This window comes from Homo sapiens, chromosome 17, assembly GCF_000001405.40.
Source record: "Homo sapiens chromosome 17, GRCh38.p14 Primary Assembly".
NCBI classification, from domain to species: domain Eukaryota; kingdom Metazoa; phylum Chordata; class Mammalia; order Primates; family Hominidae; genus Homo; species Homo sapiens.
Genome location: NC_000017.11, coordinates 50,632,648 through 50,655,384, shown reverse-complemented (window position 1 = coordinate 50,655,384; position 22,737 = coordinate 50,632,648). Strand labels below are relative to the sequence as shown.

Sequence of the window (22,737 nt, the reverse complement as noted above, 5' to 3'; positions counted from 1 at the left end):
TGCCAGGCTGGAGTGCAGTGTTGCCATCTTGGCTCACTGCAACCTCTGCCTCCCGGGTTCAAGCGATTCTCCTGCCTCAGCCTCCTGAGTAGCTGGGACTACAGGCGCCCACCACCACGCCTGGCTAATTTTTGTATTTTTAGTAGAGACGGGGTTTCACCATGTTGGCCAGGATGGTCTCGATCTCTTGACCTCGTGATCTGCCCGCATCGGCCTCCGAAAGTGCTGGGATTACAGGCGTGACGGCTGCGCCTGGCCCTCACTCTTTTTTTTTTTTTTTTTTTTGAGATGGAGTCTCACTCTGTCGCCCAGGCTGGAGTGCAGTGGCGCAATCTCGGCTCACTGAAAACTCCGCCTCCCAGGTTCACGCCATTCTCCTGCCTCAGCCTCTGGAGTAGCTGGGACTACAGGTGCCCACCACTACGCCCGGCTAATTTTTTTTTTTTTGTATTTTTAATAGAGATGGAGTTTCACCTGTGTTAGCCAGGATGGTCTCGATCTCTTGACCTTACGACCTGCCCGCCTCGGCCTCCGAAAGTGCTGGGATTACAGGCGTGAGCCACTGCGCCTGGCCCTCTCTCTTCTTTAAAACTAATTTTTAATTTTATCAAAGTGATATATACACACAGTTTAAAAGACCACTTTCTCTTAAGGCCTTTCCCGGGTCAGGGATAGGGAGATTCCCTGAGCCTTAGCTGCCTCTCTTCTGAAATGGAGGTGACCATCCACCGGCCCACCTGTACCTCACTGGGTGGATTTGAGACTCACAGGAACCAAAGGATATGGAGAGTCTTTGCAAATTACACAGACTAGAGTGATCAACTCTCCTAGTATGGATGGGACTTCTCTGGTTTTAGCACTGAAAGTCTAGTGTCTTGGGAAGCTGCTTGGTCTTGGGCAAACCAGGATGGTTGGTTACTTTACTGGCTCTGACAAGACTGCCTCTTACCTTTGACTATAACTACACCTATGAACTTTTTTGGAAAGGGATGGGGGAATACATTCATTAATAAACACATGTTTTACTGAGATTGTTTCCTCCAAGGCCACTAATGTACTAATCTGTTTCTTATGTTCTTTGCAAAGCATTAGATGTTTTTTAGAGATGCACAGAAAATATCAACAACAAGAAAAACCACCCACAATCTCATCCACCTAGAGACATCTGTTACCTGAGGATATAACTATTTTCTAATTGCCAATTCAAATAATTATTATTTTTATTTTTATCAAAGTTATGCATGCTCATACATCTTTGAATTTTCTTTTTTCTGTTTCTTGGTTGATTTGGTTTGGTTTTGTCTTTCAAGCTGGAGGTGTTAAATTAGATTAAATTTGGCCTTAAGCTGCCTCCTTACATAGTGAACTGAAACCCAACTTAATATGTAAACAAACCTAACATGAGAGTTTCTTGTAACAAGTAGCTGAGTCTCAGCCAATCATTGCAACTGAGCTTTCAGCCAATCGCAGACTGCAAAGTGCTTAGACCTGTCCAGATAAAGCAAATGCCGAGTTCTAAATAGGCTATTTCTATGTGTCACTTTTTTTCTCTCTGTAAGTACTACTTGACCACATGGTTAGGTGGAGTTCTTTGAGCCTTTACTGGTTTAGGTTTTTTTTTTTTTTCTTTTGAGATGGCGTTTCACTCTTGTTGCCCAGGCTGGAGTGCAATGGTGTGATCTTGGCTCACTGCAACCTCTGCCTCCCAGGTTCAAGCCATTCTCCTGCCTCAGCCTCCTGAGTAGCTGGGATTACAGGTGTGTGCCTCCACGCCCAGCTAATTTTTTTGTATTTTTAGTAGAAATGGGGTTTCATCATATTAGCCAGGGTGGTCTTGAACTCCTGACCTCAGGTGATCTGCCTGCCTCAGCCTCCCAAAGTGCTGGGATTACAGGTGTGAGCCACCACGCCCAGCCGAGTCTTTACTAGTTTAGCATGCTGCTGAATTCATGAATTGCTTATTTTTTCAAATAAGCTCTGCTAAATTTGTCTAAAGCTTTTCCTTTTTCTTTTTCTTTTTCTTTTTTTTTTTTTTTTTTTGAGACAGTCTCGCTCTTGGCCCCCACGCTGGAGTGTAATGGCGTGATCTCGGTTCACTGCAACCACCACCTCCCAGCTTCAAGCAATTCTCCTGCCTTAGCCTCCTGAGTAGCTTGGACTACAGGCGCCCACCACCATGCCTGACTAATTTTTGTATTTTTAGTAGAGATGGGGTTTCACCATGTAGGCCAGGCTGGTCTTGAACTCCTGACCTCAGGTGATCCACCCACCTCGGCCTCCCAAAGTGCTGGGATAACAGGCGTGAGCCACCGTGCCCGGCCTAAAGCTTTTCTTTTAACAGATTGGTGTCAGAAGTGGGATCGGAAGTAGAACTCCAGTGACCCTCAGGAGCATTTAGTGACCAAGTAAGGGTACCTGACAGGGCACACTGTGCCAATTGTTCTCTTGTAGCAACTGGAGGTCATGGGTGAGTTCTATCTCAGATTCCAAGCTTCAGGAATTTGTGTTTTGTGTTCTCCAAGTTTATTTGAACAATTCTTAGACTGGGTCAAGTAGGACTGGGTCCAGGAGCAAATCAGATCTGATAATTAACTGAAATGGATCCAGTTAAAAGCCTCAGGCAGGTGCCTTTTGAAAGTGAGTTCCTCCAAATCTAAGGAGTCTGGGACTCCAGAGTCTGAGACGCCACTTTCTGGGACGGTGGCTAACTTCATGAACAACAATTATGAGGAACATGTGTATTTTTGGAAAAATGGGTTAACTTTGCTGAGGACAACTTAAGAGTTACAGTGGCCACAGTGGGAAAGTTTTGACCTAGATAAAACTGTTCACTTGCAAGGTGCATTAGAAAAGAAAGGTTCAAAAATGCCACAAAAGCAATGGGATGCATTCTTTAATTGATACACAGAGGCATCTAAAAGATTAAATGAATAAAAAATTGCCTCTTTATAATAGGTTCCTTACAGAAATCAAACAAAAAAATCTTAAAAGCTCCTTCACGAATCTTATTCAAAAGCTTTAGTCATCTGGGCAAGAAATCTTGTTCCATTGGCCAGAAGAACAATTTGGATCCAGATAGTCTTTAATAAATTCAGGAGTTTTATATTACTGTACCTGGAACATGGCTAAGATATTTAAATGAAAGCTGTAAGATCTGTTGCTGTTTATGTTTATATAAGTCTGTATGTATGATACAGGTATCATAGTTTCTTATCTCCTTTTAATGCTCCAAAATTAAATTATGAAAGAGCTCTATTTTGTTGGCTTTAAGAAAAATAAGTGCTTGTATAAATGAAGTATTCTCTCAGAAAATTAAGAACTACCTCAAATACTTTTGCAGCTCATCTGACTTGGGTAATCTTTGGCAAATAAGAATATTGTTGGTTTGACTGAAACAGACATGTTTTCATAGTTTTGGGGATTAAATATCATAAAGATGCATGATTTCCTATCTAGGTTTACTGGTAAAACAAGCTTATGTTGTCTTTATATTATAAAATTTGTCAGCAAGAAAAACAAAATGATGACTAGTTGTTTATTATCTCATCTTTATAGGCAATCCAAGCATAAGTGTTGAAAATAAGTGAGTTAAATGAATGTAAGATAAAATTCCCATGTAAAAGATGTCCTTCCTATACCAGAAGGTTTTATTATTACTTTTTTGAAATAGGGTCTCTATCGCCTACTCTGGAGTGCAAGTGGCAAGATCTCGGCTCACTGCAACCTCTGCCTCCTGGGCTCAAGCAATCCTCCCGCCTCAGCCCCGCCAAAGTATCTGGGACTACAGACACAAGCTACCACATCCAGCTAATTTTTGTATTTTTTGTAGAGATGGGGTTTCACCATGTTGCCCAGGCTGGTCTCGAAATCCTGAGGTCAAGTGTTCCACCTGCCTCAGCCTCCCAAAGTGCTAGGATTACAGGCGTGAGCCACCACGCTCAGCCACCAGAAGGTTTTAACACTCTTAGCATCAAGAATAGAAAGTTGAGGAGGAGGGAAATCTGTACAAACAACAATTTAGTTTTCAGGCCTCACAAAACAAACAAACAAAAAACCTAAAGGGATACAAATGAAATTTTGCCTCCTTTACAGTTTATTTTTACAGAGAGACTTAAAGACATTTTGGACCATTGAGAAACATGTTCTGTGCCACACTGACAAATTGTACTATGAGAAAGCTCATGCTTCTAGACATTATGGTTCATAGATTTACCAATCTACAGCTGGTGTGACACACAATTCACAAATGCTTACTTTCTAATGTCCATGGAAATTAAGGTCACTAAGGGTTAAGAATTCTTTTTTTTTTTTTTTTTTTCTGAGATGGAGTCTCGCGCTGTCACCCAGGCTGGAGTGCAGTGGCTCAATCTTGACTCACTGCAACCTCCACCTCCTGGGTTCAGGTAATTCTCCTGCCTGAGCCTCCCCAGTAGCTGGGATTACAGGTGCCCGCCACCACGCCCAGCCAATTTTTGTATTTTTAATAGAGACAGGGTTTCAGCATGTCAGCCAGGCCGGTCTTGAACTTCTGCCCTCAAGTGATCTGCCTACCTCGGACTCCAAAGTGCTGGGATTACAGGCATGAGCCACTGTACCTGGCCGGGGTTAAGAATTCTAATTAATATATGTAGCTACAATTACTAGAAACAATAAGGGGGAAAATCTATATGAAAATATACAAGGAAGGTAAGAAAAAGGAATATATGAAAAAGAAATATACAAAGGAAGCTAAGGAAAAGCTATAAGACGTGAGGATGTTTTGTTTTGATAACGGAAAAAGAGAATAAATTTTGTCCTAAAGTGAAATGACTGATTTTTCGAAAATGAGAAGAGGAAAGTATAGGACAAAAAGTGAATGGATATAAGAGTTGTAGGAGGTTTGTGGAAGATGAATCTTGTGAAAGAAATTTTATGGGTGATCAAGCTGGTTAAGATTAGGAGGTAATTATTTACAAGTTTTTTAAGAATAAAAGTTAGCGACCGGGTGCAGTGGCTCACGCCTGTAATCCCAGGACTTTGGGAGGCAGAGGCGGGTGGATCACTTGAGGTCAGGAGTTCGAGCCCAGCCTGGCCAACATGGTGAAACCCCATCTCTACTAAAAATACAAAAAATAAGCCGGGTGTGGTGGCAGGCGCCTGTAATCCCAGCTACTTGAGAGGCTGAGGCAGGAGAATCACTTGAACCCGGGAGGCGGAGGTTGCAGTAAGCAGAGATTGCACCATTGCACTCCAGCCTGGGCGATAAGAGCTAGCATTAATATCAAAATTACACTGATGCAAAACTAGAATTTGGTTCTCTCCATTAAAACAACATGGTGTTCTTAGATTATTGGTCTGATCATAATAGGAAATTGTAAAATGTTTTTCTTTCTCTTTAGGTAGTTGGCCTAGAAAACAAAGATTCTGTGTTCTACCCAGATAATTTCCTGTGCTTCATGCTGTCTTTGTTAGGTTTTTGATCACTTAAGAAAACTGAGAACTCGCTATTAAAACAGCTAAGCTTTTTCTACAACTATGTAACTTTTTGTATATGCCTCCGAAGTCATTTAATGAACGGCTATTGTTCACAGTGACCTGTGATCCTATTAAAAAAATTTATTTTATGTGTTGCCTATTTCCTTCCTTCCTTCCTTTCTCTCTCTCTCTTTCTTCCTTCCTTCCTTCCTTCTTTCTTTCCCTTCTTCCCTCCCTCCTTCCCTTCCCTCCCTCCCTTCCTTCTTTCCTTCCTTCCTTTCTCCTTTCCTCCCTTCCCCTCCCCACCCCTCATCTCTCTCCTCTCTCTCCTCTCCTCTCCTTCTTTTTTTGACAAAGTCTCACTCTGTCACCCAGGTATAAAGCTGACTCCATACATAGTGGACTGTAGCATAATTCAATATGTAAACAAACTGCAACGTAACTTGAGAGTATATTCTTACAATAAGCAGCCAAGTCTCAGCCAAATATAGCAGAATTTTCAGCCAATCACAAGCTGCCAGATCATCAGAACATGTCCACATAAGGCAAACACCTCATTGCACCATGCCCAAATAAGGCAAATACTGATCTGTCGCCAATCAAGCTGTTTCTATACATCAATTCCTTTCTCTGTCCATTAATACTGCCTGCCCATACTGCTGGGTGGTAAAACTCTGTGAACCTCTACTGGTTCAGGATGCTGGCTGATTCATGAATTGTTCTTTGCTCAGATAAACTCTGCTAAATTTAATTTGTCTAAAGTTTTTATTTTAACAGAATTTTTCCTCAAATGTGTGGTGACTTTTTTTTTTTTTTTTTGAGATGGAGTCTCCCTCTGTCGCCCAGGCTGGAGTGTGGTAGTACGATCTCAGCTCACTGCAACCTCTGCCTCTGAGGTTCAAGAAATTCTCCTGCCTCAGCCTCCCGAGTAGCTGGGATTACAGGCACGTGTCACAATGCCCAGCTAATTTTTGTATTTTTAGTAGAGGGGTTTTGCCATGTTGGCCAGGCTGGTCTCGAACTCCTGACTTCAAGTGATCCGCCTGCCTCGGCCTCCCAAAGTGCTGGGATTACAGGCGTGAGTCACTGCACCCGACCTGTGGTGATTCTTGCGGCTTGGCTGTCTCAATATTTTGGAGTAAGACACTAAAGAGTTGGCTGCTCTGTGTGTTGGGGGCAGGTGGATTTGGGACTGGATCTGGGACTCCTCAGGGCAATCTGTGAACAATGATGAGTGAGAGTACCAAGGACCAAGGACCAAGAAACAGCTACTGAAGACAGAGTACCGAGGACCAAGCTTATTGGCTGTTGGGCTTCACTGCAGAGTGATCAAGTAGGAACCTGGTCCTTTAGGGAAGACTCCCCCAACAACTGGAAGAATCTGGAGGTCTTTTCTCTGGGACCAATTTAGGAGTGAGGGCTGAGGGTTCTATCCTTCAGTATGCAGACTTTTACTTAATTCCACAGAATAAACTGCTGGTCTTCTGTGAGGTGGCTGGAATTTGCCTGGCTTTGAGAGGAGATGGATAAGTATCTTGGGTGTTTCATCTCTCCTTATGCATTCTCCTAGCAGCCGCTGCTTTCAGCCCTGCTCTTCCCCTTGCCTCCTTCAGCCCTCCAATCCCCGAGCTTTTACAGACTCCAAATGGCCTTTGGTTTCAGTTGTTCTCTGCTGTGTCAGTGATCACTCCTCAACCTGTTTCTCACTTTCCAAAAAGGTGTTAATATCTTGTCTGCTGTTGTCTCCTCTTCTCTTTGTCCTTGTAGGTTTACATTCTTTATTCCTTACTGTCACTTTGATGGAAAATCAGGAAGGACTGGAGATAAAGTCTTGTGTTCAATCCACCCTATAGAACCAGAAGTCCTTCCAACTACAATTTTTTTTTTTCTTTTGGGCAGAGTCTTGCTCTGTCTCCCAGGCTGGTGTGCAGTGGTGTGATCTCAGCTCACAGCAACCTCCGCCTCTGGGATTCAGGTGATTCTCCTGCCTCAGCCTCCCGAGTAGCTGGGATTACAGGCTTCCACCACCACGCCCGGCCAATTTTTGTATTTTTAGTACAGACGGGGTTTTGCCATGTTGACCAGGCTGGTTCTCAAACTCTTGACCTCAGGTCATCCACCCGCCTTGGCCTCCCAAAGTGCTGGGATTACAGGTGTGAGACACCATGCCCAGCCTCCAAGGGCGAATTAAATAGACCCGTTTCAGACTTTATGCAGGACCTCCCTGCAACAGTGTGGGCTTCCCCCATCTCTTGGAAACTACTCTTTCCTGGTCTCCTGGTTTCTTGGCAAGCATTCCTTGCTGTCTCCTTATCTTCCTTCCAGTTCACCCTGTGGACATGGGCCCTAGCTCCCAAGTTCAGACCTTGGTCCTTGGTGCTCTCTCTCATCATTGTTCACAGATTGTCCTGAGGAGTCCCAAATCCAGATCAACAGCTCAAATCACCTCCTGAGCCTCAGCGCCTACTTCCTGCTGCCTCTCAGATGGCGTCACCATCTGTCTGCAGCCACCTCATATTCAATACCTCTCAAAGTAAGATCCTTCACTCCCTGCCAGAACCAGCCCTTCCTTTGGCCTTGCCTGCCTCTGCCAAGGGCATCACCATTCTGCCAGCTACCCTGACACCTGTAGGGACATAGGTCCTATTGATTCTTGATGGAAGCATAGTAGCTGGACAAAGAGGTGTTTGAGACTTGGCAGGGAAAGGTTAAGCACCTTGGCCAAGGTCACACAGCTTAAAAGAACTCACACTTGGCCGGGCACAATGGCTTACACCTGTAATCCCAGCTCTTTGGGAGGCTGAGGTGGGAAGATCACGAGGTCAGGAGTTCGAGACCAGCCTGACCAACATGGTGAAATCCCGTCTCTACTAAAAATACAAAAATTAGCTGGGCGTGGTGGCAGGCACCTGTAATCCCAGCTACTCGGGAGGCTGAGGCAGGTGAACTGTTTGAACCCGGGAGGCGGAGGTTGCAGTGAGCTGAGATTGTGCCACTGCACTCCAGCCTGGTGACAGAGGGAGACTCCGTCTCAAAAAAATAAAAAATAAAAAGAAGAAGTCACACTTAAGCTGTGTGATCTTGACCCAGGTTCTTAACCTCTCCCCTCTCTGGGCCTTGGTTTCTTTAAGGGTAACATTGGGATGATAATATCTCTTACCTGGTTCCTCCCACCTGGCCCCTTGGCCAGACCCTCATCTCTTCATGAGCAATTGCCATAGACTTCTGGTCTCTTCCCTTCAGATTCCCTGGGGTCCCAGATCCTGCATGGTTTTCCCCTTCCTTTCTGGCCATGCCATCACAGTCTCTTTGCTGATTCCCCTGCCTGGTGCAAGAGGGTCCTGGAGCTCAGTCCTTTCCTCTTCTCTGCCTCCTTCCTATCTGCACTCAACCTCTTGGCAATCCCATGCAGTCTCATATGATGATATGATGTACCATCTATATGCCAATGACTTTCAAGTCTATCTCTCCAGCTCATTGCTCCCCAAATCTCCAGCTCCATATCTAACTGCTGACTTGACATCTTCACTCCATACACCCTACAATAGCCTGCATAGACCTGCACAATGTCCCTTCCCCCAACCCATGACCCTCTCCCCGCCTTTCCTGCTTCACTCCAGCCACTGGCCTCCTTGCTGTTTCTAAATGCACTTGCTGCTCCTGTCTCAGGGCCTTTGCACTTGCTCTTCTCTCTTCCTGGAACACTCCTCCCCCAGACATCCTGAAGTCTTTCTTTCTCAATGAAGCCTACCCTGACCATCCTGTTTAATACTGCCACCTGTGTCCCACCCCTGTATTCCCAATTCTCCCACCCTTCTCCGCTTTTTCTTTTCTCTATAACACCTATCACCTTTTGACATGATATATAATTTACTGATTTATTATATTTTCTCTCATCTTTTCCTTTACTTGCTGACATGTAAGCTCTTTGAAGGGAAGAACCTTTATTTTATTTATCTATGTATCCTAAGTACTTAGAATGGTGCCTAGCACATAGTAGGTGCTCAGAAAAAAGATTTGCTTAAATAAATCAAATATTTATTGAAGACCAGGGACATTGCCCAGTGCTTTGAGAGGCCAAGGCAGGAGCATCACTTGAGGCCAGGAGTTTGAGACCAGCCTGGGCAACATAGCAAGACGCTGTCTCTACAAAAATGTAAAACATTAGCCTGGTCTGGTGACAGGCACCTGTAGTCCCAGTTACATGGAGGCTAAGGCGGGAGGATCTCTTGAGCCCGGGAGTTTGTTGCTGCAGTGAGCCATGATTATGCCACTCCACTCTAGCCTGAGCAACAGAGCAAGACCTGGACTCTTAAAAAAAAAATACACACACACACATACACGTTTATTGAATAAATGAATGAAAGAATAATAGTATACCATCCCTTTAAACTTTCAGTAGCTCCCTACTGCCTAGAAGGCAAAGTTCAAACATTTTACTATGGCATTCAAAGCCCACAGCTGGCCTTGAACTATCTGGCTATGTGAACTGTTGAATAATCTATATGCTTGAGTTCTGAGTTCTCCCATCTTTTTTTTTTTTTTTTTTTTTTTTTTTTGATGGAATCTTGCTCTGTCGCCCAGGCTGGAGGGCAGTGGCACAATCTTGGCTTACTGCAACCTCTGCCTCCCGTGTTCAAGTGATTCTCGTGCCTCAGCCTTCTGAGTAGCTGGGATTACGGGCGTGCACCACCACGGCTGGTTAATTTCTTTCTTTTTTTTTTTTTTTTAAGGCCAAGTCTCGCTCTGTCACCCAGGCTGGAGTGCAGTGGTGCGACCTTGGCTCACTGCAACCTCTGCCTCCAGGGTTCAAGCGATTCTCCCACCTCAGCCTCCTGGGTAGCTGGAATTACAGGCACATGCCACTACGCCAGGCTAATTTTTGTTTTCTGTTTTTTTGTTTGCTTGTTTTTGAGACGGAGTCTCGCTCTGTCGCCCAGGCTGGAGTGCAGTGGCGTGATCTCGGCTCACTGCAAGCTCCGCCTCCCGGGTTCACGCCATTCTCCTGCCTCAGCCTCCTGATTGGCTGAGACTACAGGCGCCCGCCACCATGCCCGTCTAATTTTTTGTATTTTTAGTAGAGACGGGGTTTTACCGTGTTAGCGAGGATGGTCTCGATCTCCTGACCTTGTGATCTGCCCACCTCGGCCTCCCAAAGTGCTGGGATTACAGGCATGAGCCACTGCACCCGGCCTTGGTTTTTGTTTTGTTTTGGTTTTGAGACGGAGTCTCACTCTGTCACCTCGGCTGGAGTGCAGTGGCACGATCTCAGCTCTCTGCAACCTGTGCCTCCAGGGTTCAAGTGATTCTCCTGTCTCAGCCTCCCAAGTAGCTAGGACCACAGGTGCACACCACCACACCCAGCTAAATTTTGTATTATTAGTAGAGATGGGGTTTCACCATGTTGGCCAGGCTGGTCTGGAACTCCTGACCTCAAGTGATCTGCCAGCCTCAGCCTCCCAAAGTGCTGGGATTACAGGGGTGAGCCACCATGCCTGGCCAAGTTCTAGCATCTTAAGAAAACAACTCATGGAAGGGGAGTGATCTGCACTCCCTGCTTCCTTTCCCCAACCTCCCCAGCCTGCCTTCCCTTCTTCCTTTTTTTTTTTTTTTTTTTTTTGAGACGGAGTCTGGCTCTGTCACCCAGGCTGGAGTGCAGTGGTGTGACCTTGGCTCACTGCAACCTCCACCTCCCGGGTTCAAATGATTCTCCTGCCTCAGCCTCCTGAGTAGCTGGGATTACAGATGCCCGCCACCACGCCCAGCTAATTTTTGTATTTTTAGTAGAGACGGGGTTTCACCGTGTTGGTCAGGCTGGTCTCGAACTCCTGACCTTGTGATCCGCCCGCCTCAGCCTCCCAAAGTGCCAGGATTTCAGGCGTGAGCCACTGTGCCTGGCCTGCCTTCCCTTCTTAATCCCATCTGGGGCAGCCCTCTGCCCTCCAGTGCCCCTGCCCACCTGCGAGATGGCTCTTCCCAAAATACAGCTTTGTGCCTCTTGCCTCATGCCCACAAACCTGCAGTGACTCCTGCTGCTCATGAAGCCACATCCTAGCACCCAACCTGGTCCTCAAGACCCCCCCCATGGCATCTCCTCCCACCTCCTTTCCCATTGCTCCCTTCCCCCACAGCCAACTCACTTCATCCTAAATCTGCTCTGAGATTCTTGCTCCTACCCCCTTGCTCAACCTAGTCCCTCTTTTTACCACTTGTCAAAATCCTAACCTAACCACTCCAGGGAGGGGTGACAGGCCTGGCTGAAAACCCACCTTCTTCATCTTGAGCACCCTTCCTCCTAGAGAGATCCCCTTCCCTGGAGCGTCACTCTTGGCCTTGACAATGTTTGGTGAGGGCCTTGGTGAGTCAGGCAGTGGGCTGGGTTCTGCAGATACAGTGGCACGTTGGGCAGGCCTATCCCTGCTCTGTGAAGCATGCAGTCAGGGACATGCTGCCTGGGGGCATTTCATTGAAGGCCCAGGTGGGCAGAAGTTGTACCATGTACATCTTGTCCTATTCAGTATTCAGTATTCAGTAGTCCTATTCAGTATTCAGTAGTTGCTCAAACAATGTGAGCCAAGGACCCACATACTCTTGCTGAGTCTCTGACATGCTGGCCCAGGCCTGGACACTGGGTCACAGGACACACCTCTAGGCCTGATCAGGTACTCCAGTTAGTTGCCATCCAGATAGCCTGTCCCAAAGCTGCCCTGAACCCAGATCTTCAGGTCTCTGGGCCGGAGTGTACATCCCATTTCTCTGGGCCCAGCCAGAGCCTCATCTACATGGGGCCTCTCTGGGGCACCCCAGCCTCTGACCTTTCCTTGCTTTTCCCTGGCAGCCAGTTAAGTGAGGAAAATAAAGGCCCCTAATGTTTCTCCCGCATTTTATTACTGCACTTACCTAGTTGTTATCTGGATGTTGTCTCAGAACAACTTCCAGGGGTATATAGGAGGGGCACTGTTAGGCCCAGTGTACAAAAGAGAAACTACACCCACTTTGGCAACAGGTTCAAGGACACCCAGCAGTGTGTGGCCGGGACAGGCACCCAGGCTTTGTGATGCCACACGGGGCCATTGACTCACAAGGGAGTGTGCATGTTGAGGACAGGAGCCCAGGCGTGGGGACATGGTGGGAATCGCTGTGTGCACTTGCAGGCCGGTGGCATGGCTCTGTAAGGCGGGTGGGGAGTGGCCACAGGAAGAACCCAACCCCGATGCGGAGAATCCAGGATGGCTTCTGCCACTTTTGAGCCATGCAACTGTTGGTGAGCCCCTTCGTGCCCTTGAACCTCAGTCTCCACCTGTGAGTAATGGGAGTGATGACAGCATCTGGTCACCTCCCCACAGCGGGGAGAAGGTGAGGGAGAATGAACAGCAAAGCACTTCGATGGCAACGGGACAACACTCAGGGAAGCGGGTGATGGAGCCTCCAGCTGTCAGGCCCGTGTTTTGGTTTCGCAGACACCTGCTCTGTGGCAACAACCAGGGGACTTTGGGGCTGTGAGAACTGGGTGGCTGCTTTGACCCTCAAGGGCATTCAGCCTGGGCTCCTTTCCTTGAGATAAGCATGTCCCACCTGGGCAGGGCCCTCCCTAGGAGGCAGGGGGTACCCGCCCACACAGGCCCTCACCCCTAACTCCCTATTTGGTTCACTCCAGACCCTGAGCTAGGACATCAACTATGGGACACGTCATACAAAACACGTCCAGAACTGAGCTCTTGGCCGTCCCTGCCTTTCTAGCCTGCCTGGCCCGGGGATGGCAGTTCCTTCCTCCTGTCTCTCTTCCCAGACCAGAGTCCTTGGAGTTGCCCCTGATTCTTCTCTTTCTCTCACATCCCACATCCGGTCTCTCAGCAAACCCTGTCCATTCTACCTTCAAATTACAGGTTGAACGGCATGACAGTGCCACATTCAACTGTTCTTTTTTTTTTTTTTTCCCCACTGTAATCTTGACCTCTTGGGCTCAAGCGATCCTCCTGCCTCAGCCTCCTGAGTAGCTGGGACTACAGGCATGTGCCACCACGCCCAGCTAATTTTTTAATTTTTTTGTAGAGATGGGGTCCCACTATGTGGCCCAGACTGGTCTCGAACTTCTGGGCTCAAGTGATCCTCCTGCTTCGGCCTCCCAAAGTGCTGGGATTACAGGCATGAGCCACTGCACCTGGCCTTTATGATTCTTGTTTTACTGCCTCTTCCCACTAGAGTATATGCTCCACGAAGACAGATTCTTTAGCTCTGTATTCTGCAGTTGATGGTATTTCCTGTTGCTTAGAGCAGGGCCTGGCACAGAGAAGGTACTCAATAACCATCTATTGAACAAAAGAATGAATAAACAAATGAATAGATAAATGGAGGGTGCCAACTCCAGCCGCAGCCTCTGCAGCTTCATGCCCAGGAACACAGTGTTCTCTCCCTGGTACCAAGGCCACAGTTCTTGGCACCCAGAAGGGTCTCCAACTCAGTTATGTGTAAAATGAAGGTGAGGACAGGGCCAGTGAAGGTTATTCCCTGGACCCTGTAACACTCCCTGAATCCCTGCAGGGCAGGATGACGATCCCTACTCAAGGCTCTCCTCTCATTCCCGCTCTGAAGAGCACTGCTGGGAGGTGAGAGCTGAGCCCACAGCCCCCTCCCCCACCATCACCCACACAGTTTCCACAGCAACAACAGCTTCCTTAATAATGCGATTAAACAGCTGGATGGGGCTGATAAGGGGTAAGGTCCCACATCCAGAATGGACCACGTGGCAGAGGCCCCCTCATGGCAGACTTCATGGTCACTGAAGCTGAAATCACTGCAGACTCATACAGGCGATGGGGGCGGGGGGTGAGGACCCCGGAGCCCTCTGCCCCAGCTTTGCCAGGGACTTCCCAAGCCCTGGGGGCCCCAGGCCTGTTGACAGTCTCTGTCATGAGAAGAGTCATTACTTCCCTATTCCTGTGTGGTACTGGAGAAGGAAGCCACCACTGCAGGGCAGCTCCTGAAGTCCCAGATAGGGAAGGGATGAACAGACAAGACCATTGACTCAGCAGCAATGAAGGCGTGGAGAGAGCAAGGACACGTGCTGATCCCCACTCACCCTCCCTCAGCCTTTGGAAGGCCTGGGGGCAGGGGTCAAAAACTGGCTGTGCTGTAATCCCAGCACTTTGGGAGGCCGAGGAGGGTGGGTCCCCTGAGGTCAGGAGTCTGCGACCAGCCTGGCCAACATGACGAAACGCTGTCTCTACTAAAAATATTTAAAAAAATTATCTAGGCATGGTGGCGCATGCCTGTAATCCCAGCTACTCAGGAGGCTGAGGCAGGATAATTGTTTGAACCTGGGAGGCGGAGGTTGCAGTGAGCTGAGATCACGCCACTGCACTCCAGCCAGGGTGGCAGAGCGAGACTCCTTCTCAAAAACACAACACAACACAACAAACAAACAAACAAAAACTGGTTGTGCTGCGCCTGCTGGCCCCTTGCAGGGATGGCTCACGGGCTCAACTGGCCAATGTGCTTCTGGAAGGGGCTTTGGTTCACTGAGCTCCTGCTGTGGGCCAGGATGATCATTTCACGCTCATGACAGCTGACACCCAGGGCTGATGCTGGGATTAGACCCAGAGAGTTTTGTTCCAGGGCCCAGCTCCTTCCCACAGGATTAGTGTTTCCTGTACACCTGGTAGGACTCCGGCATGATGTCCCACCCTGGGGATAGAGCACTTGCACCCAGATCACCTTTCAGCCATGCAGCCCATTCTCATATCACCTGCTTTTTGCAATTATTCTCACAGAGCTGAGGGAGCAGAGCGGCTAACACCTGGGTAGTGGCCTAGCTGGGGTTCTGGGAGCCCCTGACTAGAAACCTGAATATCCAGTTAGGAGAAATCTGGCTGAATGCGGTGGCTCACGCCTGTAATCCCAGCACTTTAGGAGGCTGAGGTGGGCAGATGACTTGAGGTCAGGAATTTGAGACCAGCCTGGCCATCATGGTGAAACCCCGTCTCTACTAAAAATACAAAAATTAGCCGGGCATGGTGGTGTGCACCTGTAATCCCAGCTACTTGGGAGGCTGAGGCAGGAGGATTGCTTGAACCTGGGAGGTGGAGGTTGCAGTGAGTTGAGATTGTGCTACTGCACTTCAGCCTGGGCGACAGAGCAAGACTCTGTCACAAAAAAAAAAAAAAGGAGAAATCCAAAATCCAAGCCTAGAGTTAGGCTCTCATTCACTATCCCACCCTGCCCCCTGCCAGCCCCAACCACTGCACCGCAGTACCAGAAACAGAAACAACTTCAGTTCGGGAAGGGGAGGGGCCCAGCCACCCCAGCAATGGCATACCAGGTCTCATTTCACCCCCAACTCCCCAGGGATCCTGCCCCAATGGAGAGGACTGAATACAGTCCGGGTGCTCTGGCCCTACTCCGGGGTGGCTCAGCTGGTCATCCCTGCCAAGTCCTTCCTCCCTGGAAGCCTGCCCAGTGTTTCAAGACCATTTCCCTGTCTGGGGACTACAGGCGGGCTTGGCAAAGCTCCCTCCTGAATGCCACTTCCCTGACTCACTTCCTTCCCCGTATCTCTCTGGCCCTCAGGGACCTAAGGCCCAGGTGAAGTGGGGGAACAGCAGGATTGAGGAGAAGCCAGCCTGAGGCCACAAGCAATGAAATGCCGTAGCCAGAAGCCAAGAGCTCAGAGGTCAAAGCCATCCAGCACTGGGTTTGCTTGCAGCAGCTGAGATGGAGGAAAGGAGCCCCGGGAGCTCTGGCCTTGCAGGGAGGACTGGGTTCCTGAGGGGAGGGTGAGCTATGGTGTCTGCTAAGCGGAGGAGTGTCTACCTCCCACTCAGCTTCCCCATGGATGTGCAGGACACTGTCTTCATTTGTGAGTCAAAATACATTGGCATAGGAGCCTTGCCCATTACTCATACATTTTTGTGGCTGCCTACTAAGAAGGCAGAGGAGACCCTGATACCCAGGAGCTCTAAGCTTTGAAGGGCCCTAATCATGCATAGCCTTCGCCCCCAAGCCCAAGGCTCATCCTTCCAAAATTGGGCAACTCCAGACCTGAAGCAGGCCCCAGAGCCCACCTCAGCCCTGCTGGAGCCCAGAGAAGGTGAGTCATTTGCCCAAAGTCACACAGCTGGTGAATAGCAGAATTGGGGCTAGCTAAAACAGAGCAGGAGACACAGGGAGCTGAGCCTCCAAGGGACCAGGGATCTGCCCCTCCCTAGGATGGGTAAACAGCTAAGGGAACAATGAGGTCACCTTTCCCATGTGGGCCTAACCAAGGGGAGACCCAGAGGCCTCTACCAAGAGCTGCTTCTAGGCAAATTCCGTATGTAGAGCAGGGAGAGAGCCAGGGAAGGAGGAGTCCAGAAATCTCAGAGGAGGAACTAATGAATCCCCACTGGCCGCATCTTCCCTCTACCCAGTCACAGAATCTCAGGACCCCACCTTCTTTCCTGGCTTGAATCCTCTCTCCAGCATCTCCGCCAAGCAGTCACTAACCATGTCCTTACATACCCCCCAGTGACAGGGAGCTCACTACTTCTCAGGCGGTCCTTGCCATCTTTGGATGGCTTTCATGGTCAGGATCTTCAGATTTCTAAGCTTCCTGGGGCTGTCAGATCAAGGCTAATTCTGCCAACAGGTGTTTATCTGGCGGGGGGTAAATACCTCCAGGCCCTTCCTCCACATACTCCCTTCACCACCCAGGTGCTCCCAACCTCTGTGGTTCAGAACAGAGAGGAATCCTGCAGGCAGAGGATCCCACCTCCTCCCTTGTTCTGAGGCACCTCTGGCCTCCTGAGTAGTGAGGTGGTTTAATTACACAGTTCACTCTTTTGGAATTTATTTCCACAAAAACTCCCAAGGCACATTCAGGGAAGTTGGTAACCTGCTTCAAAGTCGATATGGGTGAGAGAGAGAAGGATTCACACAAATCATTCACCTGGCAGGTGGTGTGTGAGTACACAGATGTGTGTACACATGTCCCAAGGGGCATGGTCCTCTCCAGTCTCCTACCCTCAGACTGAGCCAGGAACAGCTCCCAGCTCCCCAGCAAACAGCTGAAATGGGAGCCACTGGCCCGACAGCCCTACCAGCTCTTTCCCTGCAGGTCTTCCCACGTCTGACATTTTCTTCTAACCCCATTTTTCTTTCTCCTCCCTCTTCCGGGGAATGTCAGAACTTGCCACCCATAGAAAACTTCTTAGTTCTTAAAATCATTCCACATTCCCTGTCTCATTTGATCAGAAAAATCTTGTGAGGTGGGTAGGGGTTGGGTTATTTCCCATTCCACTGGTGGAGAAACTGAAGCTATAAGGATGAGCTACTGAGCATCTTGGTAGATTAAATGAGCGGCCCAGAGGGGCCTGAACACCCCACCCCCTCCTTGCATTTTCACTCCTAGTTCAGGTACTTCCGGGCTGCCCTGAACCACTTCCCACAAAGTGGGTCACCCACAGGCCCCTAAGGTAAAGGTTCAGGGGGAGTTGTGCCTTAATAATACACCATGCAAATGAGATGCAACACAGCACATCACAAATGAACAGCCCAGAACTCCAGGCCTTTTTTGTAATTAGGCTGTGGCAGAGGATCCAGCTTCCAGTGTAGACTCTCTCTCCTTTCAGCTGTACAAACCCTGTCATTCCCTCAGAGGATGAGCTGGGAGCCTCCTTTCTCTCTCCACGCTCCTTCCCCAGTCACCAGCCACACTGGGTGCAGCCTGGAACAGCTTTCAGGAGCCAGAAGAGAATGTGAAAGATGTTTAGAGATTGGGGTGGGAAGGGGGGTGGTCAGTTTGCCATTTAAGGTATCCAAGCAGAGATCTCACGAGGGCTTCATAATGTAGATGAGCTGACTCCCACTGAGCCTGCATCCTCAGAGGAGGTGTGTATAGCTCACGAGCATCAAGGAGAAGTGCGCGGGCCAGAGGGCCCAGAGGCTCAAAGGCTCACAGCCAGGCAATGGCAACCCTGTAACCACAGCCCCGGGGTCCGGTTTCCCAGCCCAGCACTCTGTCTTTGATTGTCCTGTGACCTTCACTCCCTTGGCCTCAGTTTCCCCAGCTCTACACTGAGGGGTTGGACTCGCTGCTTCAAACTCCCAAGCTCCCACTTTCTTGGATTCCACAATCCCATGTTAAGGTAGAGCCAGAGGATGTCTGAACATGGGACAAAAAGGGAGTCCTGAATTTCCCAACTCTGGGGTCCAGGAGACCTGTCTCTGTAGAGTCCTAAGCTCTCAGGGTTCAGGAGGCTACCCAGGAACAATGAGCCCTTGTGCCTGAAGCTTGGGCACAACTACCCTCTTGATTTTCTGTTTGGCATCCCAGGCACCACAAACCTGCCACGGTCATACCAGCCTGGCCCAAAGGGCAGTGAAAGGAAGTGTGCTCATGAGGCAAAGGCACAACCTCTGGACCCTGGTGGCAAGTGGCCTGTCCATGCTGAATAATACATGAAGTTCCTGTGGGACTGGGAAAGAAGGGCAGTGGCAGAGAAGTTGCACCATCTCGGATTAACCTTTGGGTCACCCACAGAAAAAGAGAGAATCCCAAATATGCCTTTTTACAGTTTTTTTTTTTACCTCCATTGCCCCAAGTTTCAAAAAATCCATATAACGCCTTCAGCCCATTCTAAACACAGCCCAAGAGCATAGCTCCAGACTTATACACCTGTGCACACACGTGCACAGCACGAACTCTTGGGTAACACCCCACGTGCCTGCGTGTGTGCGTACACACACAAAGGGCATATATGTACAAATACTCAAAATAGGAAAAGACTTAGAGATTGGGATTCACAAGCCCTGGACACCCCTTTAATGACCACAGAGAAGCACCTTTAATCTGAGCTCCCTCTGTAAAACGGAGACCACATGATCACTTGCCTCATAGAGGCAAGTAAGTTTTGCAAGTTGGTAAGAAAGCTCCTAGGCTGTATGCACTTAGCTCACCTGAACTGTGCTGGAGGCTGGAGTCAGCAGGCTGAAGAGCAGCCTGTCTTAGAAAGAGATTTGGAGTGAGAGTCACCAAAGGCTTGATTTTCTTTTCTTATTTATTTATTTTTTTAGAGACAGGGTCTCACTCTTTCGCCCAGGCCACAGTGCAGTGGTGCGATCATAGCTCACAGTAATCTAAAACTCCTGGGCTGAAGTGATCCTCCCACCTCTGCCTCCCAAAGGGTGGGATTACAGGCGTGAACCACTGCACCTGGCCTGTAGCCTGTTTTTCTATCCCAGCTCTGCCTTCATTGAACTGGGTAACTTTGGGCAAGTCCCTTCCTCTCTCTGGGCCTCCCTTTCTCCATCTGTGAGAAGGGAGTTGGACTACAGGAATCCTGACACCCTGCACCTGTCTCCAGACTGGGGTCTGCTTCTCCCTTCTGAGTCCGGAGTGGTGGGGATGGCCTGCTCTCAGACCTCAGTCTTACCTAGAGAAAAGAAGGTGGCAGGAAACCTTCCTAAGAAGGGTGGGACACTGCACAGCCGGCCTCCCAAAACACCTGGTTGAGCAGGTGCTCTGGATGCCCTGGGGGCAATCCATGCCCAGGTGGGCAACCGAGTCCTAACCTGAGGCAGATGCTGAGGGAAGACCCTCCATCAGGAACCCGCGGCTGATTGCGAAACGCCCCTTCCGCACCCGACGGAGGGGCTGGGATGGAGCCGACTCACCCAGCCACGCACTGTGCCTTTGCGCCCCAGCCGCGCACTCTTCCTCACTTTCCCGGGCTCCCCAGTGCTGCAGCCGGGAAGGGCAGAGCAGGGCAGGTCCCCGACACCGCGTGGGACCCGGCTCCGGGCGGCGCAGCCAACCTCCCTCCCGAGCCCATCGCCCCCTCCCGGGCGCCCAGGCCGTCTCAGGGGCTCCGTCCCGGGATACCTGCCGGCCCCGCGGGAAGGCAGGCGGCGGGGACCGGGCGAAGCCGGCCGACCCTGGCCCCCGCGCAGTGACCCCGGAGCCCCGCGCCTTACCCAGAACTTGGAGCCGAGCTCCCCGGAACCGCACAGGGCGTCCATGGGGCCGAGGCGCGGCTGCAAGGAAGGCGAGCGCGGTCGGACCCAGCGGCGGGCAGAGCGGGCGCCGGAGCCGCCTCCGCCCTCCGCACCCCGCGCTCCGCCCGGACCCGCCCTGCCGAGCCCTACCCCAGTGCCTCTGGGTCCGGTCTCCCTGCCCCCGTCCCGCGGGTTGCGACAGCGCCTCCCTGGGAGGGACTTTGGGGCAGAGGTGGGGGGGCCCTTGGCACGGCGACAGCCCCTGCGAGCGGCCCCTGGGCCAAGCCAGGGGGATGTCTCTCTAAATACCGAGGCTAACAGTCCAGGAGTCGAGTCTATTTCCAAGGGGGAACTGGGATACACAGGCGCTCCCACTCCCGAACAAGTCCGTGGGGCCGATGAGTCATTGAGTAGGGGACGTAGGGAGAGGGATTTAACAATCTTTCCTAGTAAAAAAGGAATCTTTGAGAAGGTCACGTTCCTCTCCGGAGGTCAGTTTCCTCATCTGTAAAATGGGAAGGGCTTCTGTGCTCAATCAGGAAGCTGACCTCTTCCCCATCAGGTTCCAGAGACCACTGGCAGGCGCCACACGGGGAGCACACGGGGTGTGCTCCGCGGGTGTGTACCCGTGAGGCGGGGGTGGGGGCCGCAGCATCGTCCAGCGGGGGCCTCTTATGTCCTCTTAAACTGCTGCCCTCTTAGGCTCTGTGGCTCCCTGACCTTGCCACATCACCTCGGCACGTCTCTGGGCCTCTACTTTCACATCCGTAAAATAGAGACAATCATAGAAGAGAATCTTCCTCCCAGGGTTCTCTGAGGATTGAATGGAAAGGGTAGGCAAAGCGTATTTCCTGGCACACTTAGTGGGCACCCAACATGTGTGAATTCCCTCTGCTTCAGCCTGATCAGGGTTGGGGGGGGAAGGACAGGTGAAGCCCCAGGAGGAGCCCCACGTGAGTGTCCTCGTCCTCGTCCTCCTCCTAAGGCTGAAACTCTACATTCCTGATCTGTAAAATGGGCTTGTCAGTGCTCTCCTTCTCCTGCTTGCCTCAGCTCTCCTTCTCCCGGTATCCCCTCAGATGCGGGGATCCCTCCATCTCTCAATCCCGCTGTTGCCCTGTCTTCCTTAACACAATCCCAGACGCCAACTCAGCACCGCTTGTTGGGGCTCAGAAGGAATTCTCCCTGGCAAATCTTTCCCTGGCCCTTCTCTTCCCTGCCTTTGCCCACAGGTCTGTCCAGTTTCACCCCGGTGACCCCTTTTCTGGCCCTTGTTCTCAAGAGAAGGTGTTTCCTTCCTTGGCTGCTCAGCGGCAGGTGTGGGTGGGAGCCAGTAAGAGTGCAGAAGGGGCAAGCCACCTCCTATCTCTCTGGGCAGCCAGGAGGTCACTAGAAGGGAAGTCTCCTTGGCTATAGGCTATCAGAACCAAGATCTGGCTGGGCATGGGATAGGGGTGGGAGTGGAGAAGATTCCCCTTTCCCAGGCAGTCAGACCAGGGACTTCTACCCCTCCACTGGGCAAGTTCTTTCAGCCCCTTCTTTGTCTGCCCTCTTCCTTTCCACTCATCCACACATACCCTCCCTCTCCTGTCCCCCTACCTTCATCTCTGGGCAAAATACTTTACAGAGCTTTACACCTTGTTACGGCGTGCCTTGGATTATATTTAGTTATGAAGAGTCTGTCTTCCCTGCTAATCTGAGAGGTCCCCAAGGGCAGGGACTAACTCAGTCCCCTCCAATCCCCCTCCATACCTTTTATACACTGTGTGATCTCAATAAGCTCCTTGATGCCTCTGGGACTTCATTTCTTGAGAAACGTGGACAGGGTGATATCTAAGCTCTCTTCCAGCCCTGGTGGGCCAGGCTTCTATGGCCTAGGCAGCTGGGAACCTTCCTCCACCCCTTCCATGACCCTGGTCATGGCTTCATCAGCACCCACTGCCCCTGTGTTTTGACCTTGTCTACCCACCGGCTTCCTCCAACTCTCCCTCCTCTCCCATTCCTTTTCTAGGGCTTGTGGGGTCATAGGCACCAGATTGCTCTGGGCTTGAGGAGACCTGGGGACTTTCCTTTAGGGCCCTTTGGGAGGTGAGCTCCCCAATCAGACCTCCTTTCTGAGATGGAGAGCCCAGAACTAGCCTGAGCTTCCGTCCGGGACTTTCCAGCCCCACAGTTGGCCAGGCAGTGCACTGGCTGGAGCTCTAGTTTTGGGCTAGGACCCTTGGGTTCTGGCTTCAGCATCGGAGCTGAAGCACCATCCCTTGCAGCCCCAGGCTTTTCTATCGCTATTGCTTTCCCAAGGCTATAGCACTG

At 50.2% G+C, this 22,737-nt stretch overlaps 1 protein-coding gene across 2 annotated transcripts in view, besides 4 other annotated features; it reads right to left on the bottom strand.

The window, feature by feature from the left end:
- The window catches only part of ABCC3 (ATP binding cassette subfamily C member 3), a 57,373-nt gene extending 36,869 nt beyond the window's left edge, over positions 1–20,504 (bottom strand). For both annotated transcript variants that reach the window (NM_003786.4, NM_001144070.2), the window contains exon 1: positions 20,404–20,504. In NM_003786.4, the coding sequence (NP_003777.2) occupies positions 20,404–20,448 (45 nt within the window). In that variant the 5' untranslated portion in view covers positions 20,449–20,504. The remainder of the gene's footprint in view (positions 1–20,403) is intronic.
- Positions 14,335–15,105: an enhancer, noted in NCBI's record as "H3K4me1 hESC enhancer chr17:48717641-48718411 (GRCh37/hg19 assembly coordinates)". NCBI's record gives its function as "activates a minimal SCP1, AML or CMV promoter by ChIP-STARR-seq in naive H9 embryonic stem cells {active_cell/tissue: H9 hESC(naive)}" and the evidence as "EXISTENCE:reporter gene assay evidence [ECO:0000049][PMID:30033119]".
- Positions 14,363–14,657: an enhancer, noted in NCBI's record as "tiled region #2475; K562 Activating DNase unmatched - State 8:EnhW". NCBI's record gives its function as "activates a minimal TATA promoter and a strong SV40 promoter by Sharpr-MPRA in K562 cells {active_cell/tissue: K562}" and the evidence as "EXISTENCE:reporter gene assay evidence [ECO:0000049][PMID:27701403]".
- Positions 15,555–16,754: an enhancer, noted in NCBI's record as "P300/CBP strongly-dependent group 1 enhancer chr17:48715992-48717191 (GRCh37/hg19 assembly coordinates)". NCBI's record gives its function as "activates an origin of replication core promoter dependent on BRD2, BRD4, P300/CBP, MED14 and CDK7 cofactors, with strong dependence on P300/CBP, by STARR-seq in HCT116 cells {active_cell/tissue: HCT116}" and the evidence as "EXISTENCE:reporter gene assay evidence [ECO:0000049][PMID:35650434]".
- Positions 20,485–20,534: a silencer, noted in NCBI's record as "silent region_8706". NCBI's record gives its function as "represses an Ori minimal core promoter by ATAC-STARR-seq in GM12878 lymphoblastoid cells {active_cell/tissue: GM12878}" and the evidence as "EXISTENCE:reporter gene assay evidence [ECO:0000049][PMID:35858748]".